General features: G+C 52.9%; 2 protein-coding genes and 1 long non-coding RNA gene across 20 annotated transcripts in view, besides 2 other annotated features; 1 reads left to right on the forward strand and 2 right to left on the reverse strand.

Annotated features, from left to right (window-relative positions):
* FAM222A (family with sequence similarity 222 member A) overlaps positions 1–8,158 on the forward strand; it is a 56,671-nt gene extending 48,513 nt beyond the window's left edge. For all 5 annotated transcript variants that reach the window (NM_032829.3, XM_024449229.2, XM_047429748.1 and 2 more), the window contains one exon: positions 5,675–8,158. In NM_032829.3, coding sequence (NP_116218.2) covers positions 5,675–6,951 — 1,277 coding nt within the window. In that variant the 3' untranslated portion in view covers positions 6,952–8,158. The remainder of the gene's footprint in view (positions 1–5,674) is intronic.
* Positions 1–11,150, reverse strand: part of FAM222A-AS1 (FAM222A antisense RNA 1) — a 39,279-nt gene extending 28,129 nt beyond the window's left edge. For both annotated transcript variants that reach the window (NR_026662.2, NR_026661.2), the window contains exon 1: positions 10,960–11,150. This is a non-coding gene — a long non-coding RNA (FAM222A antisense RNA 1). The remainder of the gene's footprint in view (positions 1–10,959) is intronic.
* Positions 9,739–10,238: an enhancer, noted in NCBI's record as "H3K4me1 hESC enhancer chr12:110209881-110210380 (GRCh37/hg19 assembly coordinates)". NCBI's record gives its function as "activates a minimal SCP1, AML or CMV promoter by ChIP-STARR-seq in naive H9 embryonic stem cells {active_cell/tissue: H9 hESC(naive)}" and the evidence as "EXISTENCE:reporter gene assay evidence [ECO:0000049][PMID:30033119]".
* Positions 12,967–13,261: a silencer, noted in NCBI's record as "tiled region #11384; HepG2 Repressive DNase matched - State 12:CtcfO". NCBI's record gives its function as "represses a minimal TATA promoter and a strong SV40 promoter by Sharpr-MPRA in HepG2 cells {active_cell/tissue: HepG2}" and the evidence as "EXISTENCE:reporter gene assay evidence [ECO:0000049][PMID:27701403]".
* TRPV4 (transient receptor potential cation channel subfamily V member 4) overlaps positions 20,750–23,087 on the reverse strand; it is a 50,312-nt gene continuing 47,974 nt past the window's right edge. For 12 of the 13 annotated variants that reach the window (XM_047429295.1, XM_047429293.1, XM_047429294.1 and 9 more), the window contains 2 exons: positions 21,979–22,100; positions 20,750–21,441 (listed from right to left, as the gene is read on the reverse strand). In XM_047429295.1, coding sequence (XP_047285251.1) covers positions 21,284–21,441; positions 21,979–22,100 — 280 coding nt within the window. In that variant the 3' untranslated portion in view covers positions 20,750–21,283. The remainder of the gene's footprint in view (positions 21,442–21,978; positions 22,101–23,087) is intronic. The other variant, NM_021625.5, reaches the window with a different exon arrangement.

A 23,087-nucleotide genomic window follows, 5' to 3' on the forward strand; every position in this document is an offset into this window, starting at 1 on the left:
CAGCTTCGTCAGAACGCAGTGGCCAGGTTCCAAGGATGGAGGTCCCAAGAGAACATATTCCAGGTGGAAGGCACATTGCCTCTTACAACCCAGCCATGAGAGTCACACGGCGCCACTTCCATGGCATCCTATTTATTTGATAGAATGGAGTCACGAAGCCGCAGGCCCCCTCCCCACCATCCTTGCCACTGCTGAGAAGCCTGTCCCAGCCCGCTGGCTCACCCACTTCCTTCATGTAAGACCTTTTCCTGTCATTACATTTACCAAAACGGGACTGTGCAATTGCACTAAACACTCGCAGCTGGGCCCACTTTCAAGGGAGAGTCTAGAGCCTTCACCAAGCTGGGGTCAGGGCCCCAAGTAGTCTGGGACCCCAAGCCACCTCCATTGCTACTCTGGTGGAACAGGTTGGGTTTGAGGCACCCATGGGTGAGCTCAGGAAAGTCCTTCAGGGAACAAGATGTAAAGGAGGAGCTGCAAACCCATTGGCTTCCAGGGGCCACCGGAGCACTGTGGCCAGGCCAGGCTTCAGACAGGGACTCCAGTGACCTGGAGGCTCATGCCCCACCTGAAGGCACTCACATTCAAAGCACGTTGAAGCACTGAGCAGCTCCCCCAAGCCCATCTCTAAGAGGGACTGGGGCTCAGGGCCACCAGCTGGAGGTTGCTAGGTGCCAGGCAGAAGCCCAGGGCAGGTGTGAGAGCTGCCTCCCTGGGTGGCCTCCCTGCCTCCTTGAGCCTCTAGGCTGACTCTGTGGTCCCTTCTCAGGACTGTCCTCCTCCTGATTCTAGGGAAGAGGAGGGCCTCATGAAGCCCCTGGCTTTGCCCTGCCTCAAGGTGGAAGTAGGGTGAAGACAGCCTGGAAAGCAGACAGACTGGGCCTGAATCTCAGCTCCACCCTTTGCTGATTGCATGCTCTTGGGAGACTCTGAGCTTCCACTTCCTGCTCTGTACAGCGGGAACTGCATGAGTCACCTACTGCCGTGTGACAAGTAAAACTCAGTGGCTTAAGGCAGCAACAGTCATTTAATATTTCTCATGGTTTCTGTGGCTTAGGAAGTTGGGAGCAGCTTGGCTAAGTGGTTCTGCTCAGGGTCTGTCATGAGGTTGCAGTCAGGATATTGGCCAGGGCTGCACTCTCATCCAAAGGCCTGACTGGGGCTGGAGGATCTGCTTCCAAGAAGTCTCACATGGTCTTCTTGGCTGAAGGCTGCAGTTCATGGCTACATGGGCCTCTTTCTCCATGGGCTGCTTCAGTGTCCTGGCACAACAGTGGCTTCCCCCAGAGCAAGTGGTCTGAGAGAGCGAGTGAGGAGGAAGCCACAACTACTTTTATGACTGAGCCCTGGAAGCCATATTCTTTCACTTCCAGAGTATCATACTAGTTATACAGGTCAGTCCTGTTTGGTGTGGGTCCCAGGGACTGGACAAGGGCATGAATACCAGGAGGTATAAAAATCATTGGAGTGAGTGGCAGATCATGGAGGCCAGCTGCCAAATGTCCTAACTTGTCTGTTTCCTCATCAGTAAAACAGGGACCATCTCCCACCTCTAGGTTGTTGGGGCCTCCAAACGAGAGTCATCAAGAAAAGCCATGGAGGCTGGGTGCCGTGGCATCTCAAAGTGCTGACCTGTAATCCCAGCACTTTGAGACACCAAGGTGGGAGGGTCACTTGAGCCCACGAGTTCGAGACCAGCCTGGGCAACATAGTGAGACCCCATCTTTACAAAAAATACAAAAATTAGCCAGGTGTAGTGGCACACCCTTGTAGTTCCAGCTACTTGGGAGACTGAGGCAGGAGGATCACTTGAGCCTGGGAGGTTGAGGCTGCAGTGAGCTACGACTGTGCCACTGCATTCTACCCTGAGTAAGACCCTGTCTTCAAAAAAAAAAAAAAAGCCATGGCCCTGGAGCCTAGCACATACTAGACGCTCACCAAAATGAGCTTCTGTATTATGGCACTTTCTGTGGAATGGCAGAGGGACCAGGTCACCCTCAATGAGCCCTGTTGACCACATGGGGGCAAAATGCCCCTTCTTTCAGTGAATGGGGACTAGGAACAGGCACTCCTTTTTTTTCTTCTTCTTCTTAAGGTTTTAAACACCTAATTTATTCCGTCCATTAGATAGATTTTGTAGATTTAATCATTTTCACAGTTGGTGGCTCATTGGATACTCAAGATAAACTCCAAATGAAAGTATAATGGTGAGGACAAATGAGTTTTCACACCACAATGGCAGAAACTTGCTTGGGAAGAGAGTTTAAGAGGAACAAAAATACATACAGATATAATTTTTTTTTCCCCGGCAGCTGCTTTTGCTGACTCCAGTAGGTTACCACAGTTAATTTCACCAGTTTTGTTCATCTGTAAAATTGCATAAAAGTGACATTTTTGTGCTCATTATAGCAACTGCTGATTTATGGCTGGTAAATGAAGAGCTGGTCCCTTTTTTGCGGGACTCTCCGAGTGGCGCTAAGTGCCCATGAAATTGCTTGTATAATGTAGTTTAAATCCAATCTCGGAGAAAGATTCCCCCGTTGGCCAAAGTGACATTTCCATTCTCCACACCGAGTTTATTTTAGGCCACTTAGGAGGAGGCTGCCCCGGGCAGAGTCGGGATGGGGGTCCATGGCTGGGTCCACTTGCCCAGCCCCAGTGAGGCCAGATGAACGGAGAGCCACCTACTTCTTCACTCCCTGCTGCCCTGGCCAGGTCAGACCACACCCTTCACCCAGGGCAGAGGCAAATAAGCCCACTGAAGCTCATTTGCCTAGGCTCATAGGCCTGCCCATGCCTTACCCTGCTTAAAACCTCCCATGGCTGCCCAGTGCCCCACGTCGGGGCCTCTCCCCCTTTGGCCCTGCTGACAGTTGGGACTGGACCCTTTTCTGTGGCAGAGCTGTCCTGTGCATTGTAGGATGTTTAGTGGCATCCCAGGCCATGACCCACCCGATGCCAGTAGCACCTCTACCCCTAGCTGTGACAGCCAATCATGTCTCTACACACAGCCAGAGTGCCCCGTGCAGTGAGAGCCGCTTTCCTGCAGCGAAGAGGCCCTCCCGGCCGGCCACCTCTCTTGGGCTTCTCTCTGCAAGCCTGCCCCGGTGCCTCTCTCCTCCCGAGTCATTTGCAGTTCCCACCCTGACTACTTCTCTGCCTCAGGGCCTTTGCCTGGGCTGTTTACTCTGCCTGAAATCTGTTTCTCCCTCCCTTTTCACCTCTTCTACCAGTGGCCCAGGACTTAACCAGGATACAGTTCCTTTTGGGAAGCTGTCTCTGGACCCCCATGTCCCGCCACCGCCTGTTCCTCTCCATCCCATTTCACTTGGATTGGTTGTGAGCCCACGAGGTGTCAGGGACGATGCTTTAGAAGGTTGGGACATGGCCAGCAGCCTTCTGATCAGTGGGGAGGTAGCAGGGTCTGCACTCTATCCCCAGCTGCGATGCCAGTCCCACCTGTGCCTGTCTGAAGGGTGGCATGAGTCCCCTGCCCCTTTTCTGGGAGGGCCCTTTCTCTGGGCAGATGGGGAAGGTATTAATACTCACGCTCACAGAACACCAGCTTTTGTTAACGCCATCTACCGCACATGACCCGTCAAACCCTCCCAGCCATCTTGGGAAGTAGTATTAGCAGTAGCATCACCCCATTTTACAGATGAGGAAGCAGAGGCCGAGTGGTGAAGCTCCTCTCCCAGGCTCCCCTGAAAGTAATGAGCTCCAAGCACCTATCATGTACCTCACCCCCTACTGAGCCCCCGGCGCCTCCATTCCTTGAGGCCACCTTGGAGACCTGGCATGATCATGACCCTCATTCTACAGGTGGGAAAACAGGCTCAGCTGGGCAAACTACATGCCCAGGGCCATTCCATCTGCCTCATGGAACTCCACCACCACCACTCTCCATACCCCCTCAGCCCCGGAAAGCTGTGGGCTGCCCTTGGGAATGTCTCAGGACCAGGGAGGGGCTATGGATGGGGGCAGGAGTCTGCCCGCCATGGCCCTCCTTCCCCATGGCAGGGCCAGTTGTGTCCACTTATAGTGGGGACAGTCAGCCTGTAGCACAGAGCGTACCCTTCAGCCCCATGCAGGCGGCTCACTAAAAAGGCAGCAGCAGCCATGCTGGCCTTACAGGTGAACAGTAGACTCAAGGAGGGGCCAGGAAGCAAGAGGCAGCAGCTCGCCCTGGCGCTAAGCCCCATCTGCCGTGTTCACGTAGTAGCACACTTAACCAGCCAATGAGGTGGGCAGGGGGTCATCATCCCGTTTCACAGGTGAGGAAGGAAGGCATACGGAGGATAAAAGGGTTAGAAGGAAGGAATGTCCCCCAGAGTGGTGACAGAATGAAAGATGACACCAAGCACTGGCAGGTTGTGGGGCCACTGGAACTCCTGTGCTCTGCGGGTGGGAGTGTAGCCTGGCATGGTCTCACGGATAAATGGTCAGGCATTTTCTCCCGAAGCCGGGCAGGGGCATCTCCCCTGTGACCTAGAAATTCCATTCCTGGGTATATTTCCAACAGAACTCTGCATGCACTAGGGGCCATGGCACTGTATTTATTTACTTTTATTTTTTTGAGACAAGGTCTTGCTCTATCGGCCAGGCTGGAATGCAATGGCACAGTCACAGCTCACTGTAGCCTCCAACTCCTGGGCTCAGGTGATCCTCCCACCTCAGCCTCCAAAGTAGCTAGGACTATAGGCATGCACCATAATGCTTGGCTTCTTTTTTTTTTTTTTTTTTTTTTTTCTTATAAAGACAAGGTCTTGCTGTGTCACCCAGTCTGATCTTGAACTCCTGGGCTCAAGCGATCCTTCCACTTCAGCTTCCCAAAGTGCTGGGATTACAGGTGTGAGCCACCTCACCCAGCTAGAAACAACCCAAATGCCATCAAGAATAGAAAGGTTGGGCCAGGTGCAGTGGCTCATGCCTGTAATCCCAGCACTTTGGGAGGCTGAGGCAGGAGGATCACTTGAGCTCAGGAGTTTAAGACTGGCCTGGCCAACGTGGCGCAACCCCGTCTCTGCAAAAAATACAAAAATTAGCCAGGCATGCTAGCGCATGCCTAGGATCACTTGAGCCTAGGAGGTCGAGGCTGTAGTGAGCCATGACTGCACCACTGCACTCCAGCCTGGGTGACAGAGCAAGACCCTGTCTCTAAAAGAACAGAAACGATGAATAGATTGCGGCATAGTCACACAACAAATACCATACAGCGATGAGACAGACCAGACTACTCCCCACACAGCCACCTGGATGACTCTCACATAGTATGAAGTGACAGAAGCCAGGTGCAAATGAGTACATACTGTAGAATTCCATCTTACCACATACACAAACCAGGCACAACCAGTCCATGTTAGAAGTCAGGATAGTGGTTAGCGTGGTGTGGTTAGAGACTGGGAGGGGCCCAGGGACCCTACAGGGGATTAGCAATGTCCTGTCTCCTGGCCTGGGTACCATAAAACAGGTGTGTTCCTTTTGTGAAAGTCCATCAAGCTTATGATGCAGGCAGTTCCCTGCACTTTACACTGAAATTCGAAGTTTAAAAATGTAGAAGGAATAAGGAGTAAAATGAATGGGAAATGAGTGGAGGGGGCGGGACTCGTGAGCCCTGTGGGGAGAGGTTGGCATGGCCTCCTGATGGGCCCTCACACCTGCTTTCCTCCCACAGGCGAGGCGGTGGCCAGCGCCATGCATTCCTCCCGCTACCCGAGCCCAGCAGAACTGGACGCCTATGCCGAGAAGGTGGCCAACAGCCCGCTGTCCATCAAGATCTTCCCCACCAACATCCGTGTGCCCCAGCACAAGCACCTCAGCCGCACAGTCAATGGCTATGACACCAGTGGCCAGCGCTACAGCCCCTACCCACAGCACACCGCTGGCTACCAGGGCCTTCTGGCCATTGTCAAGGCCGCGGTTTCCTCCTCCAGCACGGCCGCACCAGCTGGGCCCGCCAAAAGTGTGCTCAAGAGCGCCGAGGGCAAGCGGACCAAGCTGTCACCGGCCGCCGTGCAGGTGGGCATTGCGCCCTACCCAGTGCCCAGCACTCTGGGTCCCTTGGCCTACCCCAAGCCACCTGAGGCGCCTGCTCCACCACCCGGCCTGCCCGCAGCCGCCACTGCCGCCTCCGTCATCCCCCTGCCGGGCCGGGGCCTGCCCCTGCCACCTTCCAACCTGCCCTCCATCCACAGCCTCCTGTACCAGCTCAACCAGCAGTGCCAGGCCCCGGGCGCCGCACCCCCTGCCTGCCAGGGCATGGCTATTCCCCATCCCAGCCCTGCCAAGCACGGCCCAGTGCCCAGCTTCCCCAGCATGGCCTACTCGGCTGCAGCCGGTCTGCCCGACTGCCGGAAAGGCACTGAGCTGGGCCAGGGAGCCACCCAAGCCTTGACGTTGGCTGGGGCCGCCAAGCCTGCAGGGTACGCAGACAGCGGCCTGGATTACCTGCTGTGGCCGCAGAAACCGCCCCCACCGCCGCCCCAGCCACTGCGTGCCTACAGTGGGAGCACGGTGGCCAGCAAGTCCCCTGAGGCTTGCGGGGGCCGGGCATACGAGCGGGCCAGCGGGTCACCCCTCAACTGTGGCGTGGGGCTGCCCACCAGCTTCACCGTAGGCCAGTACTTTGCGGCCCCGTGGAACAGTGTGCTGGTGACACCCACCAGCGACTGCTACAACCCAGCGGCGGCGGTGGTGGTCACGGAGCTGGGGCCGGGGGCAGCCCGGGAGCTGGCTGGGCCCCCTGCAGATGCCCTCTCGGGCCTGCCCAGCAAGAGTGTGTGCAACACATCGGTGCTGAGCAGCAGCCTGCAGTCACTGGAGTATCTCATCAACGACATCCGGCCGCCCTGCATCAAGGAGCAGATGCTGGGCAAGGGCTATGAGACGGTGGCCGTGCCCCGGCTACTCGACCACCAGCATGCCCACATCCGCCTACCCGTCTACAGATAAGGCCTGCCCTGCGGACATACGGACATGCGGACAGGGCGCAGAGCCGGGAGGCAGGCCGCAGAACAGGGTGGGCGGCTCGCAGGGGCGCTCAGCCCCACCCTGTGCCTGCTGATGCCCACAGGGGAGCCAGGCTGGCTGCCGCCTCGCTGTGGCCGGATGGAGGGTGGCAGGGCAACCTCACATACCAAGGCCCCTCCCCACCATCGGTTGCCCCAGGACACAGTGAGGGCCTGGGGGCAGCCACTGACGCCCATGCCTTCCTTTATCTAAGCTGGCAGAGGCAGGGAGAGAGAAACCACTCAAAAACAGGAATGGTTCTTTCTGGGCCTCCTGGGACAGGGGCCCAGGCCAAGGTGGGGTGCAGGAGGAAACAGGCGCACCAGAGTCAGGGTGGGGGCAGGGCAGCCCCCCCAGGGGTCAGGCAGCTGTGTCTCCCCACACTGGCTCCCCAGTATTCTGGAAAAGGGGTACAGGAGGCCGATAGGAAGTCACTGGGCCCAAAGTGTCTCCCCACCAGCCAGGTGAAGACCACTCTGACAGAGGCTCCAGGGACTATACCAGTCCCCCTGTTCCTCCTTCCCCTACCCCCACCATTCCTTCCTAACACAGAGTTGCACCCCCATCCCCATTCTCCAAACCCTGGACTACCATATTCCCCCTTCCCTCCAATACATCTTATAGGGCTGCTGGGTACAGTTGTTCAGGCTGTGCACTGCACAAGGGCACCTTGTCCAAGGAGACACCACTTTCACCCAAACTTGTATATTTATTACAATTTTCTGCATCTTGAGGAAGGGGCGTCATTTTCCTGTTCGCACAAAGGCACCACAGGGGCTAACAGTGGGCCTGCAATCTTAGATCCCATCCTTGCCTTCTTCGAGGGATCTCTTGGGACCCTCCTGGTTTTAACTGGGAGGCCCAGACCAACTCCTTTCCTGCAAACCACCCTCCAAGGCCTGTCCCACACGATCAAGGCAGGGAAAGATAGGCAGGAGTCCCCTCACGAAGTCCTCAAGTCCTGGCCCCTCTGGCGCTCTGGAAGCGGTACTGTATCTCTCTCCAAGGCCTGGTCAAGCACTAAGTGCATTTACAAATCTCTGAGAATGTTTTTTTTATACTAAAATTGACCATTATATTCTACTGTGAGAAGTGCAGTCTGCACTATATTGTTTTAAAAACGAAGAGAAAGAAGAAAAAGGAAAACACAGATGGTGTCTCAGCTGTCGGGTTGCTTTTGTAGCTCTTGTTTTCGTTTTCTTTCTTCCTCCCCTTAGGAGTGAAAGGGGCTGTCTCCTCCCAGCTGACCAGGCTTGCAGCCCGGGAGGGAAGCAGGCCAGGAACCTCCGGGTACCTCCTGTGCGTGGAGCATCCTGCCCTCAGTGCTTCCCCTATTCCAGCTCTTTCAAGATGGACATTGTCATTTAGCACACAGGCTGATGGCTGCTAGGTCACGGCCATCAGTCGATCCCTAGAGCAGCAGAGACAGAACCAAACGGGGGCCCTCTTCCTCATTCCCTTCATGGTGGTCTCGGCGGGGGCATCTCCCCTCCATCACAATTTCTTCCCAGCTCTTCCTTGTGCCTGGCATGCTCCAAGGGGCCATGGTGGCAGTGGGGCTGGGGACAGGCCACAGTGGCTAGGCAGCAGCCATCTCCATGGCCAACCCCATCTCAGCCAGGCCAGACACCCCAGTGCCCACCCACCCCCTGCTCTGGTGCCTGGGGATTTGCAGGAGACCACTGCTGCCCCAGGGAGCTCAGCATTTATTAGGCCTTGGCTGTGCACCAGGCATTTTCCTACATACTGTATCTTGCCAAAGCCTCACAACACCCTTGCAGGGTGGGAGGCGTTCGAGAGGAAAAAACTAAGACGCGTAGTGATCTGTGCGAGGTCACACAGCAAATCTGTGGGAGGCTAGGGTTCAAACCTCACAGCATGGACTCTTCCCTGTGTCCCGTTCCTGCCTTCGCCTCCTCCCAGCTCTTCTCTCCCAGCCTCCTAGCCCAATATCAGGGCCGGAGGCACTGGAGAACTTCCGGCTAAGGCAGGCCTCCCCTCCCATTCACAGAGCCCTGCCAGGGTGGCTGGCAATGGTGAAGTCCAGGGCAGAGATGGGGACAGAGGGGACGCCTTGGATTCGACTCTGTGGTGGGTGGTCCACCTCCCTGAGACCAGGCATCCACGTCGGGCAGCACATGCTACCCAGTCCACAGAAGAGGAAACAGAGGCTCCGAGAGGAAGGGACTGTGTCCAGGGCGGGACCCAGGCCCTTCTGCACTGGGTCAATGAGCCAAGCACATCACCCCAGCCCCTGGGGAGCAGGAGCCGGGCCCTGCAGGGTGAGGAGCTGGGAAAAGCAGAGCTCCATGGAAGGCAACCGGGAATCATCACAAATAGGACATAACTAGTATAAACTGCAATTGACAGAGTGCTTTTCTGACCTCACTTGAGTCTATCAGGTAGATGATAAAATCAGGCCCATTTTACAGATGAGGACACAACCTGACCAACGGCCACGAGGATGTTGAGAGGGAGCGAGGTGTTCTGGCTGCAAGCCCCACCCCCACCCTCATTCATAATCAAAGCCCGCCTGGGTGCAGCCGGAACCCGGGGGAGCCTGGACGGGGCAAGCCCAGCAGGCCCAGCCTCTGCAGTGAGCTAGACTTGGGTTCCAATCCTGATAATGCCACCGTGAGTGACCCTAACCAATCCATTTCCCAAGGGGGGGCGGCACCAGAACCAGAGATGGAATTCAAGCAGACAAAAGCACAGTGTGAGCACTCGGGGAGGGAGTGGGGCAGGAAACCAAGGTCTAGGGCCAGGTGTTACACTGGGAGGTGGCCTATGTCTCAGCTGTTCCCAGGTGTCACCACTGGGGCCACCCAAGCACCAACTTGGTCACCCAGGTCCCCATGTCCTTGGTCAACTGCCAGGCGTACCCACACTGGGGCATCAGGAGAGGGGAAACGGGAGAGGCTGGAGCCACTCTCCATGCCCGGTCCCTCATATTTGGATATCAGAGCAAAGGATGCACCTGCTATCCTGGAAAAACCTCCTCATCCTCCACAGGGTGGGGTCTGTGTGCGTGGCAATGTAGGGGCGCATGGCACAGTCTGGGTCTGGGCCCAGGAACCCAGCTGGGGCTCTAGCCCTGACTACCTGTGCCTCCTTGGGCCTCAGTTTCCCCATCTAGGAACTGGGCTGGCTGATCTCAAAGTGCCCTCCGGTGGCCATTCTAGCATGGTTTCTTTATACAATCAATCACCTTTGATTACCACATTGATGGGGGGAGGACAGGTGACGAAAGCATTGCTATCACTGCTACAATTACTGAGATCCCACACTTAACTACAGGCAGACCAGATACCAGGCTCGGGGCTAAACGTTACTTGTGCCTCACAACCACTCGGCGCAACAGAGGTGCATGCACCCACATTACAGACAAGGTTAGTGAGACCCACAGAAGGGCAATCACTTTGCCCAAAGTCACACAGCTGAGGATGAAGAATGGAGAAGTGGCTGGGATAGAACACAGGCCTGTCTGATTCTGAGTCCTAGTTCCCAGCTGCAACCCTTTGCAGAGAATAGAAAACAACTGTCAACCGCCAAATGTGGCCAATTTGGCTCCAGAACCCAGGCACAGCCTTGGATCCCAGAGCCCCAACTGCCCAGACATCCCGGTGGGTGAGGGAGAAAGAGAGGAGAAGCCACCATCTCATCCAGGCCCCGGGCAGGAGCTGCAGTCCTTCTCTAGGTCTCTGTTCTGACACTAGGATCCTTCTCTCTCTACTTAGCTGTCCTGGGCTCACACCCTTTACCACGGAGCTGTCCAATACGGTAGCCTGGTGTGCAGAAAACCTCGGCTATCACTTCCTGTCATAGTGACCATTAGAAGATCACCCCAGGTCAGAGACAGGTGACCTTACAGAGAGATCAGAGCTGCCCCAGAAGGCCACGGGGGCTCAGGCGCAGATTTGGATAGAGGAAGCTATGTTAGTAGACACTCACCTTTCCAGGGTGGCTCTGTGTTTTCTTCACTCATATCCCTGTCTTTATATCACAACCCCATTTCTGGAGCGGGGAAACTGAGACAAGTTCCAACTTCTGAACTTGCCATCCAAACAGCGACTCCTAACTTTGCCCTACTCAGCTCCCTCGGCTGCAGCCTGGACTCCTCCACGCGCAGCTCCACGTGTGCCCAGCACCACTGCGCCTGCCCATCCCTCCCGGGCGCTCTTAAAGGGCCCACACCCCGTCCCACCCCCAACGTTGGCCGGAGAAGGTGGAGTCCAGCCAGCGCGATAGGTGAGAGCAAGGGACGAAAGGTTTTCTGTTTAAATTGCCACCATCACCAGCTCGCCAGCGAGTGGCAGGGGGAGGGGAGGAGGCAAGAAAACGGAACTTAGTATCCCACTGACTCCACGTGTGACCCTGGGTGACTTGTGTGCCTCTCTGAGCCTCAATTTCCAGATCTGTTGAAGGAAGTGGTGGCACCTGGAGGAGTGAGGTGGCATCAGGTGATGTGTGGTCAGGATGATAGGGCAGATTCGTCCTGTAAGAGGACCCCTCTGAGTGCTGTGGGATGTAGTTGTCTGAGGGTCAGAACTCGTTCCATCCTGAGGCTGTGTGCAGGTGTGTGTGACCTCAGGCAAGTGATCACTCCTGAGTCATCTATTTCCCAACTGTAAAATGAGGCTCCAACGGGGAGCTGTGGCTCATACCTGTAATCCCAGCACTTTGGGAAGCAAAGGCTGGAGGATCACTTGAGCCCAGGAGTTCAAGACCAGCTTGGGCAGTATCACGAGACCCCTATCTGTACAAACAATTTTAAGATTAGCTGGGTGTAGTGTGTGCCTGTAGTCCCAGATACTCAGAAGGCTGAGGTGGGAGGATCACTTGAGCCCAGGAGGTCAAGGCTGCAGTGAGCCATGATCGCACCACTGCACTACAGCCTGGGCAACAGAACAAGACCTCGTCTCATAAAATAAAATGAGGCTAATATTTTAATGTATGTACCATGTGAGGTTTAACTTAGGAGACAGGTGGTCAAATCCCCTGGGTAGCACAGAGCCATTAGGTAAAAGACATATAACAAAGGTGGAGTATTCCCATCCTTGCCTAGTGCAGCTGACTTCCAAGTCACCTTGGAAAGTGGGTTTCCCAGTCAAAAGAGTTTGAGAAACAGATGCCTATCCCGGCTCTTGGAGATACACAAATCGCATTAACATATTAAAGATGCTAACAGATCCTGCAGGCAAGATTCCCTTTTAACTTCTTTGCAGTGGCACAGTCTCGGCTCACTGTAACCTCTGCCTTCCAGGTTCAAGTGGTTCTCCTGCCTCAGCCTCCTGATTAGCTGGGATTACAGGCATGCTCCACTACACCTGGCTAATTTTTGTATTTTTAGTAGAGATGGGGTTTTGCCATGTTGACCAGGCTGGTCTCAAACTCCTGACCTCAAGTGATCTGCCTGCCTTGAAGGCCTCCCAAAGTGCTGGGATTACAGGCATGAGCCACCACGCCCAGCCCCCTTTTAGCTTTAACCCAGCATTTCCCTAACTTTTTTGACCACCTAAGTTTTTGTTTCCACCTATTTACACCCCATGGAACAAACAAGACTTCAGGAAATGCTGAGTCCTGCCTCTTGTATTGCAATTGGGGAAACTGGGTAAGTCCTTTCTCCTCTCTGGACCTCAGTTTCCCCAATTACACTGCAAGGACTCATAATGAGTTTGTGGCAGAGCAAGGACTGGAACCCAACCCTGACCTGGGTGGCTGGGTCTCATTTCTAGTACGCCCTAACTGGTCCTGTCCCTCATATTGAATTAGGCACAAAAGAAGGGGAAGGCCCTCAGGGAAGAGGAAGAAGCCACATTTGAGAAGTAGGGGTGAGTACTCTTATTTTGAAAGAGAGGAAACTGAGGTTCAGAGAGGGGAGGCAACTTGCCTGAAGGCACACAGCAACTTGGTCCTGAACGCTCCAGAGGCAGTCGAGGCCACCTTCTCTCCTTCTTGGGGTGAGGGTACGAGGGTGGGGGTGGGATATTTCCTGTCTCAAAGCCTCAGGGCACACCCAACAGGGTGCTCACAGGGAGTCTTCCTGATCACATCCCCAGGTTCCAAGCTTCCTTCTGAACCCCTCTGAGGAGGCCCCTGAGTGTGACAACAGCGGCCCCTGGTGACCAATCTCCGGGACCTCAGCAGCCTTACCCTGTGCTAGCCAAGGGCAGATCTGTGGGATCCAAGGGGTGTACCCCCAAAACTAAGCGGTGCCAACAGAACGGGGACTCCCTAATGTCACTAAGAACCTTGAGGTGCTAAGAAGACCCTAAGCTGAGATCTGCGGACCTGGGTTTGAGTCCCCGCTCCAAACCCCAACCTCTCCTGCCCTTACCTGTTAGCAGCCATTACAGCCTGCTGCTATGGAGAAATAGAATGTGTGCCTGCTTTGGAAAGGCCAAAAACACTAAGTATATTTAAAAAAAAAAATCCTGCCACGCCCTAGAAAGGTTCAACTCCACCACATCCAGGCTATGTGTCCTTAGTCATGGGCATTTACTTGATTGGGTCTCACTTTCTTCATCTGTAAAATGGGGATACAAATTTGTACTTGTATCAGCATGATTTGGGCCAAATATCAGAAAATCCCCCTGACTCAACTGGTTTAAATGAGAAAGAACATTTATTCTCTGGAATAATCATAAGAAGCCTTAAGGCAGGGTGGCCTCACAGTTGGTTAAAGCAGCAGCTCAATGGTGTCATCAGGGACCAATGTCCTTTTCATCTTTGTGTTCTGTCAAGGCCCCTCAGGGGCACAAAGTGGCTGCTGCAGTTCCGGGTATCACATCCAGATGCAATAGTGACCAGCAACAGAGAGGACAGTCTTTTCCTAGATTTCTCTTACTTTCCCAGAAACTTTTCCCAGAATTCCCCCTCCCCCAGCAGACCTCCCCGCTTGTCTCATGGGGCAAAACTGGGTCACATGGCTATTCCCACACCGATACCTAGTAAGGGAAGGAGAGTCATGGTGATTGGCTCAGGTGTTGTAACAAAGAGGGGGCATGATTTCTAGGATGGTACAAACACTGGTTCATGAGCTCCCGCACACGGTTCCTGAGATTATGAATCCCAAACACTGAGCACGGCGTCTAACACATGGCAGTTGCCTTATCCATATTGCTTCCCCCTTTCTCTGATTCCCTCTAAGAACACAAGACTCCCAGCCTGGCCTCTCCTGAGCCAGCCTTCCACCCCTCAATCCTGGGGCTTGGGTCTCCACCAGTCAGTGCCTCTCCCATCCTGACCTCTGGCTCCATCACTGCCCTCCCTCTTATTTCTATCTCAAAAGCTTGGGATGAACAAAGATCACTTCGTTGTCCTCAGTGACACTGGATTCCTAAAGAATAAAAGATAGGAGATGCTAGATTCTTATATAAATGCTTTCACCAGGGAGCCAAAAATTAATAACAGCATGAACAGAGGCCTGGAGTATTTAACCACTCCATCCAGACAACTGAAATGATCCGAGTACACCGTTATCTGGGCGAGGTGCGGGGACTGACTGCCGACTACGACATTATCACATTCGGAAATGTCAGAAGCATGCATTTTGCAGGGAGATGAACGGTGTGGCTGAATATGGCTTTTGATTAAAACAAAATTCCCAGCATTCATCTAAAACAATAATAACAGCTAATAATAACAGGGCATGTAATAATGAACCATTCATAGGCATAAGAGGTAATTGTTCAATTAAGATCCCAGAGTTTCAGAGACTGTCTTTTCTGATGGGGTCCCTTTGTTTTTGCCTCCAGTAGCACTAATTCTTTCCCAGTAGTGCTTTAAACTTGGGAAGAAAAAAGCCCTCCTGTCAAATATGACATACAAGTGCCTTATCATTATTAAATACACATACATGCACACAATAAGCAGTCCTTGTTGGAATAAAGTTAGGGGTATGGCGCTCTCAGTGAATGCTGACAGGCTTGGGAGCTCCGTGAAAGTGACAGGCAAGAGCCTGGGCCTTCACTGCAGAAGTGGTCTGGCCTCGTTACCTCTCACTGCCCAGGGACCAGAGCGCTTTCTCTCCAGCATGGGTTCTGAAGACAGAATGCCTGGGTTCAGGTCCCAACTCCACTGCTTAGCATCCAGGTGCCCTGGGCAAGAGTCTTCATCTCTTTGAACCTGTTTCCTCATCTATAATACGGAATATAGTAGACATTTAGTTTTTTTGGCCTGCCTGTGTTCTATTTACTCTCTCTTCTAGTGTCTGTAACCATTAGCTATTGCTGCCTGCACTTAAAACACACACACACACACACACACAATCATAAAAAACCTGTGGTATCCAAAAACATTAATTTCTCATGCAGCTGCCGGGTTCCTCTGATCTCAGCTAGGTTGCCTGGGGTGACTTGGGTGTCTCTTATCCTCTTCCTGAGGGCTGGCCCTGGCATGTCTGCTAACATCCCATTGGTCAAGACAAGTCACATGCTCAACCCCGGGTATGGGAAATTATGCTTTGCCCTCGGTGGGAGGACATCACAAAGTTAGACTGCAAAGGGCACACAGGTCAGGAGAACGGAGAAGGGCATTTAAACTAAGGATGCTGCTTTTTTACAGTCTTCAGAGACGATGAACCTCCTGTCACAGGAGGTATGCAAACAGAGAGGTGTAGGCTTGGTGGTAAAAAGGGATCAAGCGTGGATATAGAGTTGGGATAAATTAATGATTCCCAAATATCAATCATTTCTATAACATAGTCATAATTTTCCCCATGAACGTTTATTCATTTAATATAGTTCCTTAAATCATCTAAGTATTCTTTTTTTATAAGCTATATTTTTATTATTAAATGACTTGCTTGTAAACTACACTTGAGACCACTACTTTATCTAGAAAACTGTATCATTTGCCATAAAGAGAAGGCTTTATTACTCTAAAAATAAAATGAAATTAAAATGTTTTTTATTTTATTTATTTATTTATTTTTGAGACACAGTCTCACTCTGTCACCCAGGCTGGAGTGAAGTGGCGCGATCTTGGCTCACTGCAACCTCCACCTCTCAGGTTCAAGTGATTCTCCTGCCTCAGCCTCTCGAGTACCTGGGATTACAGGTGCACACCACCACACCCAGCTGATTTTTTTTTTTTTTGTAGTTTTAGTAGAGATGGGGTTTCACCATGTTGGCCAGGATGGTCTTGAACTCCTGACCTAAGGTGATCCACCTGCCTTGGCCTCCCAAAGCGCTAGGATTACAGGCATGAGCCACCATGCCCAGCCACGAAATTAAAATGTTTTTAAGTTATTCCTAGATACCATGTCCTTCCAGAGGTTCTGAGCCTAAGGCTTTTCTCTATTTGAAAACAAAGATTAGTGAATGTTGGGAAGGCATTCAAACACAGAAGCACCAAACTGAGACCTTGATACAGTCAGGGAATACACAGAACTGAAAAGAGAATATGGGTTTTTTAAGTGTGATCCTATGTCCATTGTATCACCTGAGAATATTCTGGCATACCACCAGCGCATGTCCCACACTTTGAGAACATTGGGAAAGGTCATCTTTAAGATTTTACTGCAACAAACAAAATCCCAATGACTTGCAGATTTTTAAGTTCCCCCACACAGCTATTTAGTCATAGTCAATATCCAAATCATTGAATATTTAGAAAGATCACAGTTGGAAAAACTTACTACATGGCTAAAAGTGTACTCATAGGAAAATTCATAGCCAAAATTATTTCATTATAAAAAAATAAAAATAATTAGCCAGGAGATAGTGGCATGTGCCTGTAATCTCAGCTACTCAGGAGGCTGAGGCAAGAGAATTGCTTAAGCCTGGGAGGCGGAGGTTGCAGTGAGCCAAGATCATGCCACTGCACTCCAGTCTGGGCGACAGAGTGAGACCCTGTCTCATAAAATAAAATAATGAAAATAAATGAATTAAACACTCACCTTAGAAGTTACTGAGTCTTTTTGAGTTGGGAGGGTGTTTTGATTTTGTTGGCAGGCCCATCCCATCCGCCCCTAGAGAAGTGACCTCTTCACAGACCCAGAATGAGCCACAGCCATTCTTGATGACAATGTTGGGGTGGAGGGTGGACATTTGCAAAAAGGACTGTAGTAGATGCTACTGGTTGCCTAGGCAATATCAATTCGCACATCCTCTTTCTCATAGAACCCAGACCTGGCTGGAGTCACTTCCTTCCTCCATATCGCCATCTGCTTCTTTAGGCCAATTGCTGTTTCCTGCCTGCTGATTGGCTGAAGCGTGGGACACATGACACAATTCTGGTCAATAATACAAGAGGAGAGGCCAGCTAGGACACTTCAGGGAAAAAGAGACAGGAAGAGCTGTCTTCCCTTCTACTGAATGAGACTGAATCTGGATGTGATGTCTGGATCAAGGGCACCATCTTGTGTCCTTGAGGAAAGCTGGTGTAACAAAAAAGCCAGCACACCAGGCGGGCGTTGCCTCGCACAGTGCCTGACGCGTGGTTGGAATCCATACTTAAATGCTGAAGGAGTACATGAGGGACAGAACTGGGTCCTTAATGAATCACAGAGACCCTGAATTTATCAGCCTTAATATCCTCCCTAACTTGGGATATCCTGCTGACACAATTAATATCCTTTTTTTTCCCAGCCAGTGTAGGTTTTCTGTTACTTGCTGCCCAAATCACGTAACTATATGAATACTACAGCCACAATTCTCTCTTCTTCCTCACTGATTTGGGTATTGATTATTTATGATTCAACTGCTGCCTGGGGGAATATTTTTTTTTTTTTGGAGACAGAGTCTCGCTTATTGCCCAGGCTGGAATGCAGTGGCGCGATCTCAGCTCTCTGCAACCTCTGCCGCTGCCCCCTCAACCACCCCTGATGGGGCTCAAGCAATTCTCTCACCTAGCTAGAATTACAGGGGTGCCCCACCATGCCCAGCTAATTTTCATATTTTTAGTAGAGACAGGGTTTCACCATGTTGGCCGGGCTGGTCTGGAACTCCTGACCTCAACTGATCTGCCCACTTCGGACTCCCAAAGTGCTGGGATTACAGGCATAAGCCACCGTGCCCAGCCTGCCTGGGGGAATTTAATGGGTCCCAGGAATCACTTGATCATCGAAAAGCATGTGCCCATTTTACAGATAAGGAAACTGAGGCTCAGAGCATTTCTAATCTACCCACAAATACCCAGAAGAATTCCTGAGGCAAGACTCAAATCAGTTCTCTTGAATCCAAATCCAGAGCTTTTTTTTTTTTTTTTTTTTTTTTTTGAGACAGAGTTTTGCTCTTGTCACCCAGGCTGGAGTGCAATGGTGAGATCTTGGCTCAATGCAACCTCCACCTCCCAGGTTCAAGCAATTCTCCTGCCTCAGCCTCCCAAGTAGCTGGGATTACAGTTGCGCAACCACCATGCCTGGCTAATTTTTATATTTTTAGTAGAGATGGGGTTTCACCGTATTAGCCAGGCTGGTCTCGAACTCCTGACTTCAGGTGATCTGCCTGCCTTGGCCTCCCAAAATGCTGGGATTACAGGCATGAGCCACCGCACCTGGCCCAAATCCAGAGCTTTCTAGGACATTCCCCCACATGCCAACATCCCCCCTCACTATCCCTGCTCGTTTCAAGGGCACCCAAGGCAAAATAGGCCCCCTCCTTGTCCCAAACAACCAGCTTCAAGGGAAGATCCAGGTGGCCATCTTGTCTTCTGACCAACCCAGAGGAAGAACCCAACAGCAACAACTTAAGAGTGTTTTCACTTCAATCAGAGTAGAGAAAAAGGAAAAGAGTGTTTCTCTCTCTGCCCCAACCTTCTGCCCTTCTCGAAGTTGAGACCCAGGGGCTCAATCACGTGGCTGCTCCTTCCCAGAGCCTGACCTGAGGGAAAAATGTTTGCAGCCTCCAGAGAGCTGACCTGCCACTCTTAGCTGGGGTTCCCTGTGGTTCTGGGGAGGTTCACCAGGAAGCACCCTGTCACCCGGACCTGAAGACTGGCTCAGGCGCAGCCTTTGACACAACCTGTCTAATCAGAATGACTCTGGGGACGCCTGTTGAGAGCGCTGGCTGAGGACCCCCTGTCTGGGTGTAGGAATAGATAAAAAAGCATGGAGCCCTGGGAATAACTGGGCTACTCCTGGACCACGAGGGGTACAATCTGCTCCTGGAGGGCAACGTAGAAGGAGGTGGGGGGTTGGAGCCCCCTGGCCAGCCTTGGTGGTAATCTGAGTCCTCCCTCCTGCTCATGGAGATTGGTAGACTCATGTCCCTCCTGCCACTGACTCTCCCCTTCTGACAGATGAAGAGGTAGAGGCCCAGAGAGGTAAAGTGACTCAACCAACATTCCCTGAACCAAATAACCCATTGCCAATGCAAATTCAGGACTGCTCAACCCAAGCCCCATGATATTTTCCACTGCAGCTGCCCTTGGCCTTGGTCTCCTCCAAGACCCAAGCTCTTCTTGACTGAAGCTTCAGAAGGACGCGAGATCCCAGCTGGAAGCTGGACCCAGAGCTAGGAGGCCATGGGAAACTAGCTGGCTGTGGCTTCCTTGGCTCTAGGGTGGTGGCAGCAGGGTGGGTGTTTGTGGGGTCCCTCCTCCTGCCAGGAGGTCTGGAGCTGCCTCGGAGCTTGACTGGTGTTGGGTATGACCCCAGGCGAATGGCTGCCCTGGTAAGGTGATATAGTTTGGCTGTGTCCCCACCCAAATCTCCTCTTGAAGTGTAGCTCCCACAATTCCCACGTGTCATGGGAGGGACCTGGTAGGAGGTAATTGAATCATGGGGGCAGGTCTTTCCTGTGCTGTTCTCGTGATAGTGTCACAAGAGCTGGTGGTTTTATAAAGGGGAGTTTCCCTGCACAAGCTCTCTTCTCTCTTGCCTGCTGCCATGTAAGACGTGCCTCTCGCTTTCTGCCATGATTGTGAGGCCTCCCCAGCCACATGGAACTATGAATCCATTAAACCTCTTTTTCTTTATAAATTACCCAGTCTCGGGTATGCCTTTATCAGCAGCGTGAGAACAGACTAATACAGAAGAGAAGAGGGTCAGCCTCACCTCCGGCTCATGGCTCACAGCTCCAGGTGGCATGTGGCCCTGTGGACAGACACAGGCAGGCAGTCCTCAAGGAGGCACCATCCCACTTAGCCAGGAGCACCATGACCCCCACCCATCCCAGCTCCACAAGCACTGCCAATCGCCCCTGCCACCATGGTCCTCACCACAGCGACCCGCATGCACACCCAGCACCCTGCTGACACTCCAGGCTCACCCACTGCCACGCCTGCTCCGTGCTGCCTGGCAACCATCCTCCCGCCTAGCAGGACAGCCCTCCCAGTATAATTGTCCCCTGATGAGCACCAGAGTCCCCGCACCTGCACTGTCAACCCCTGGCCAGCGTTACTCTCCCCTGCCCAAATGTACTGTCTCCATGGGGATCATTATCCCCCAGCCAGCACTACTGTCACCCCCACCAGCATCACTCTCGCCCTGCCAACATGACTCTCCCTGGCCAGCATTATTACCCCCACCAGCATCACTCTGCTCTCCTCCCTCCACCCCCACCTTCCCCACAGCCACACCAACCTCAGCCACCTCTCAGGCCACCACCACCACCATCACAACCACCCAGTCCAGCCCCCAACCACCAACACTCTAAATGCCTCCCGGTCAGGACTTCTGCCCTCACTCTCACCCCTGCCCCTGGCTCCCCCCAGGCATTTCCTAGCTCTCCCATCTCCCTCGCTGCAGTCTCATGCCTGTTACCATCCCTCCCACCCCTGCCATCATCCTGCCATCTCCACCGTCAATGAATAAACATTTATTGAGCACCGGCAAATCCCAGACACTACAGAACACACAGAAGGCATGGCCCCACGCCGAGGGCCCCAGCCCCTTGCAAAGCTGCCACGCTGCCAAAAATGGTGGCGCATGCAGCTCAGGCGCAGGCTGAGGCTGGGGCTTGGCCGGGCAGTGCACTTGGAACGGGGTCCTAAGGCCTCTGCCAGGTTCCAGCTGGGGCAGGGGTCACGTCGCTTCCTGAGAGCAGAGCAAATAAATAATGGAGAGGCAGGGGCTGGGGCCTGAGGTGGAGGGGCTCTGGCGTTGGCTTATGTGACTCCATAGGAGCAAGACAGGTGGCCGGGAGCCCCCACCCCAGGGTGGGGAGGCAGAGCCAGGGGACCACAGGGTCCTGGGGCCTCCCTGGCACCTCCACTGGTCCCTCGCCTCTGGGGCCAAAGCAGGGTGTGGGGGGACACCCCAGAAGGCACTGCTGAAATGCGGCTGGACTAGAAATGAGTGGGCAGAGAAGCTGGGGCTGGGCTGCAGTCCCTAGAGCGGGGCGTCATCAGTCCTCCACTTGCGGGGGTAACCCTGCTGGTGGCCATCGCAGCGGGGGTTCCCCATGCTGTCCAGAGGCACCACCACCTCGTCCGGGTTCGAGTTCTTGTTCAGTTCCACCACGCGGGGTACCACCGAGGACCAGCGATCTGCACCGAGAGCACATCAGAGGGAGGGGTGGGGGTTGGTGGAGAGAGAGCGTGCGTATATTGAGTGCCTACTGTGTACTGGGCACTCCACAGTGTTCTGAAGGGGGGATGTGACTATGCTCATTTTACAGAGGTGGAAACTGGGGCTCAAGAGAGGTCAAGGTGCCTCCCCAGGAGAGAATGGAGGAACCAGGATTCAAGCCTGGAGCCGAATGCCCTGAGTGCCTGTGTCCTCTCCAGCTGCGTCTCGCGTGCTCATGGCTTACTGGACAAACAGGAAGGTTTTCTCCACACAGGGATGGCTGAGGAGCTCGTCCTCCCTCCCCAGGCCAGCTTATGTCAACAGTAGGGAGGGCCAGGATGAAGCCACGTAGGTGAGGTGCCCCAGGCATTCACAAGCAGCAGAGGAAGCTCAGGGGCACACTCTCTCATTCTGTAGACACGGACACTGAGTCCCGGAAAGAAGCAGGACTGCTCAAAGCAAATTCGTGATGAGAATGGACTGGGGCTCCCCTCCGCACCCGCCCCTCCACTCACCCCTGCGGAGGCGGCCCACGGTATGCGAGAAGCCATAATACTGGTAGGTCTCATTCTTGCCCGGGTCCTCGTTGATGATGCCCAAGTTCTGGTTCCAGTGAGACCAGTTCACCTCATCCACCCTGGCAGGGCCCAAGCAGAGGGTCATGGGGAACCCCTCAGAGACGCTCTCCATGCCACCATCCCCAGCACACCCTCCTATTTTTTTATTATGGTAACATATACATAACAAGGCTGGGCGTGGTGGCTCATGCCTGCAATCCCAGCACTTTGGGAGGCCGAGGTGGGTGGGTCATTTGAGGTCAGGAGTTCGAGACCAGCCTGGCCAACATGGTGAAACCCCACCTCTACTAAAAATTAAAAAAAATTAAAAAAAAAATTAGCGGGGCATGGTGGCGGGTGCCTATAGTCCCAGTGACCCGAGAGGCTGAGGCAGGAAAATCACTTGAACCTGGGAGGCAGTTGCAGTGAGCCGAGATCACGCCACTGCACTCCAACCTGGGGGACAAAGCAAGACTCCATCTCAAAAAAAAAAAAAAAAAGACGTGTGTGTGTGTGTGTGTGTGTGTGTGTATACACACACAAAAAATTTGCCATCTTAATCATTTTTGAGTATACAATTCAGTGGCATTAAGCACATCCACATTGTGTGACCATCACAGCTATCTATTTCCAAAATTCTTCCATTCCCCCAAGCAGAAATTATTTTTTTTAACCTTCTTTTGAGACAGGGTCTCACTCCATTGCCCAGGCTAGGGTGCAGTGGCACGATCACAGCTCACTGCAACCTTGACCTCCCAGGCTCAAGTGATCCGCCCACTTCAGCCCCCCATGTAGCTGGGATTACAGGGATATGCCACCACACCTGGCTAATTTTTTAAAAACGTTTTGTAGAGATGGGGTTTCACTATGTTGGTCTTGAACTCCTGGGCTCAAGCAATCCTCTTGCCTCGCTTCCCAAAGTGTTGGTATTACAGTCACCACGCCTGGCCCAGATAATATTTCACTGTACACATAGCCCACATTTTGTTTATCCACTCATTTTTTTATATATTATCTTTTTTTTTTACATATTATCTTTAATTTTTTATCCTATCTATTCATTTTTG

This window comes from Homo sapiens, chromosome 12 (assembly GCF_000001405.40).
Source record: "Homo sapiens chromosome 12, GRCh38.p14 Primary Assembly".
NCBI classification, from domain to species: Eukaryota; Metazoa; Chordata; class Mammalia; order Primates; family Hominidae; genus Homo; species Homo sapiens.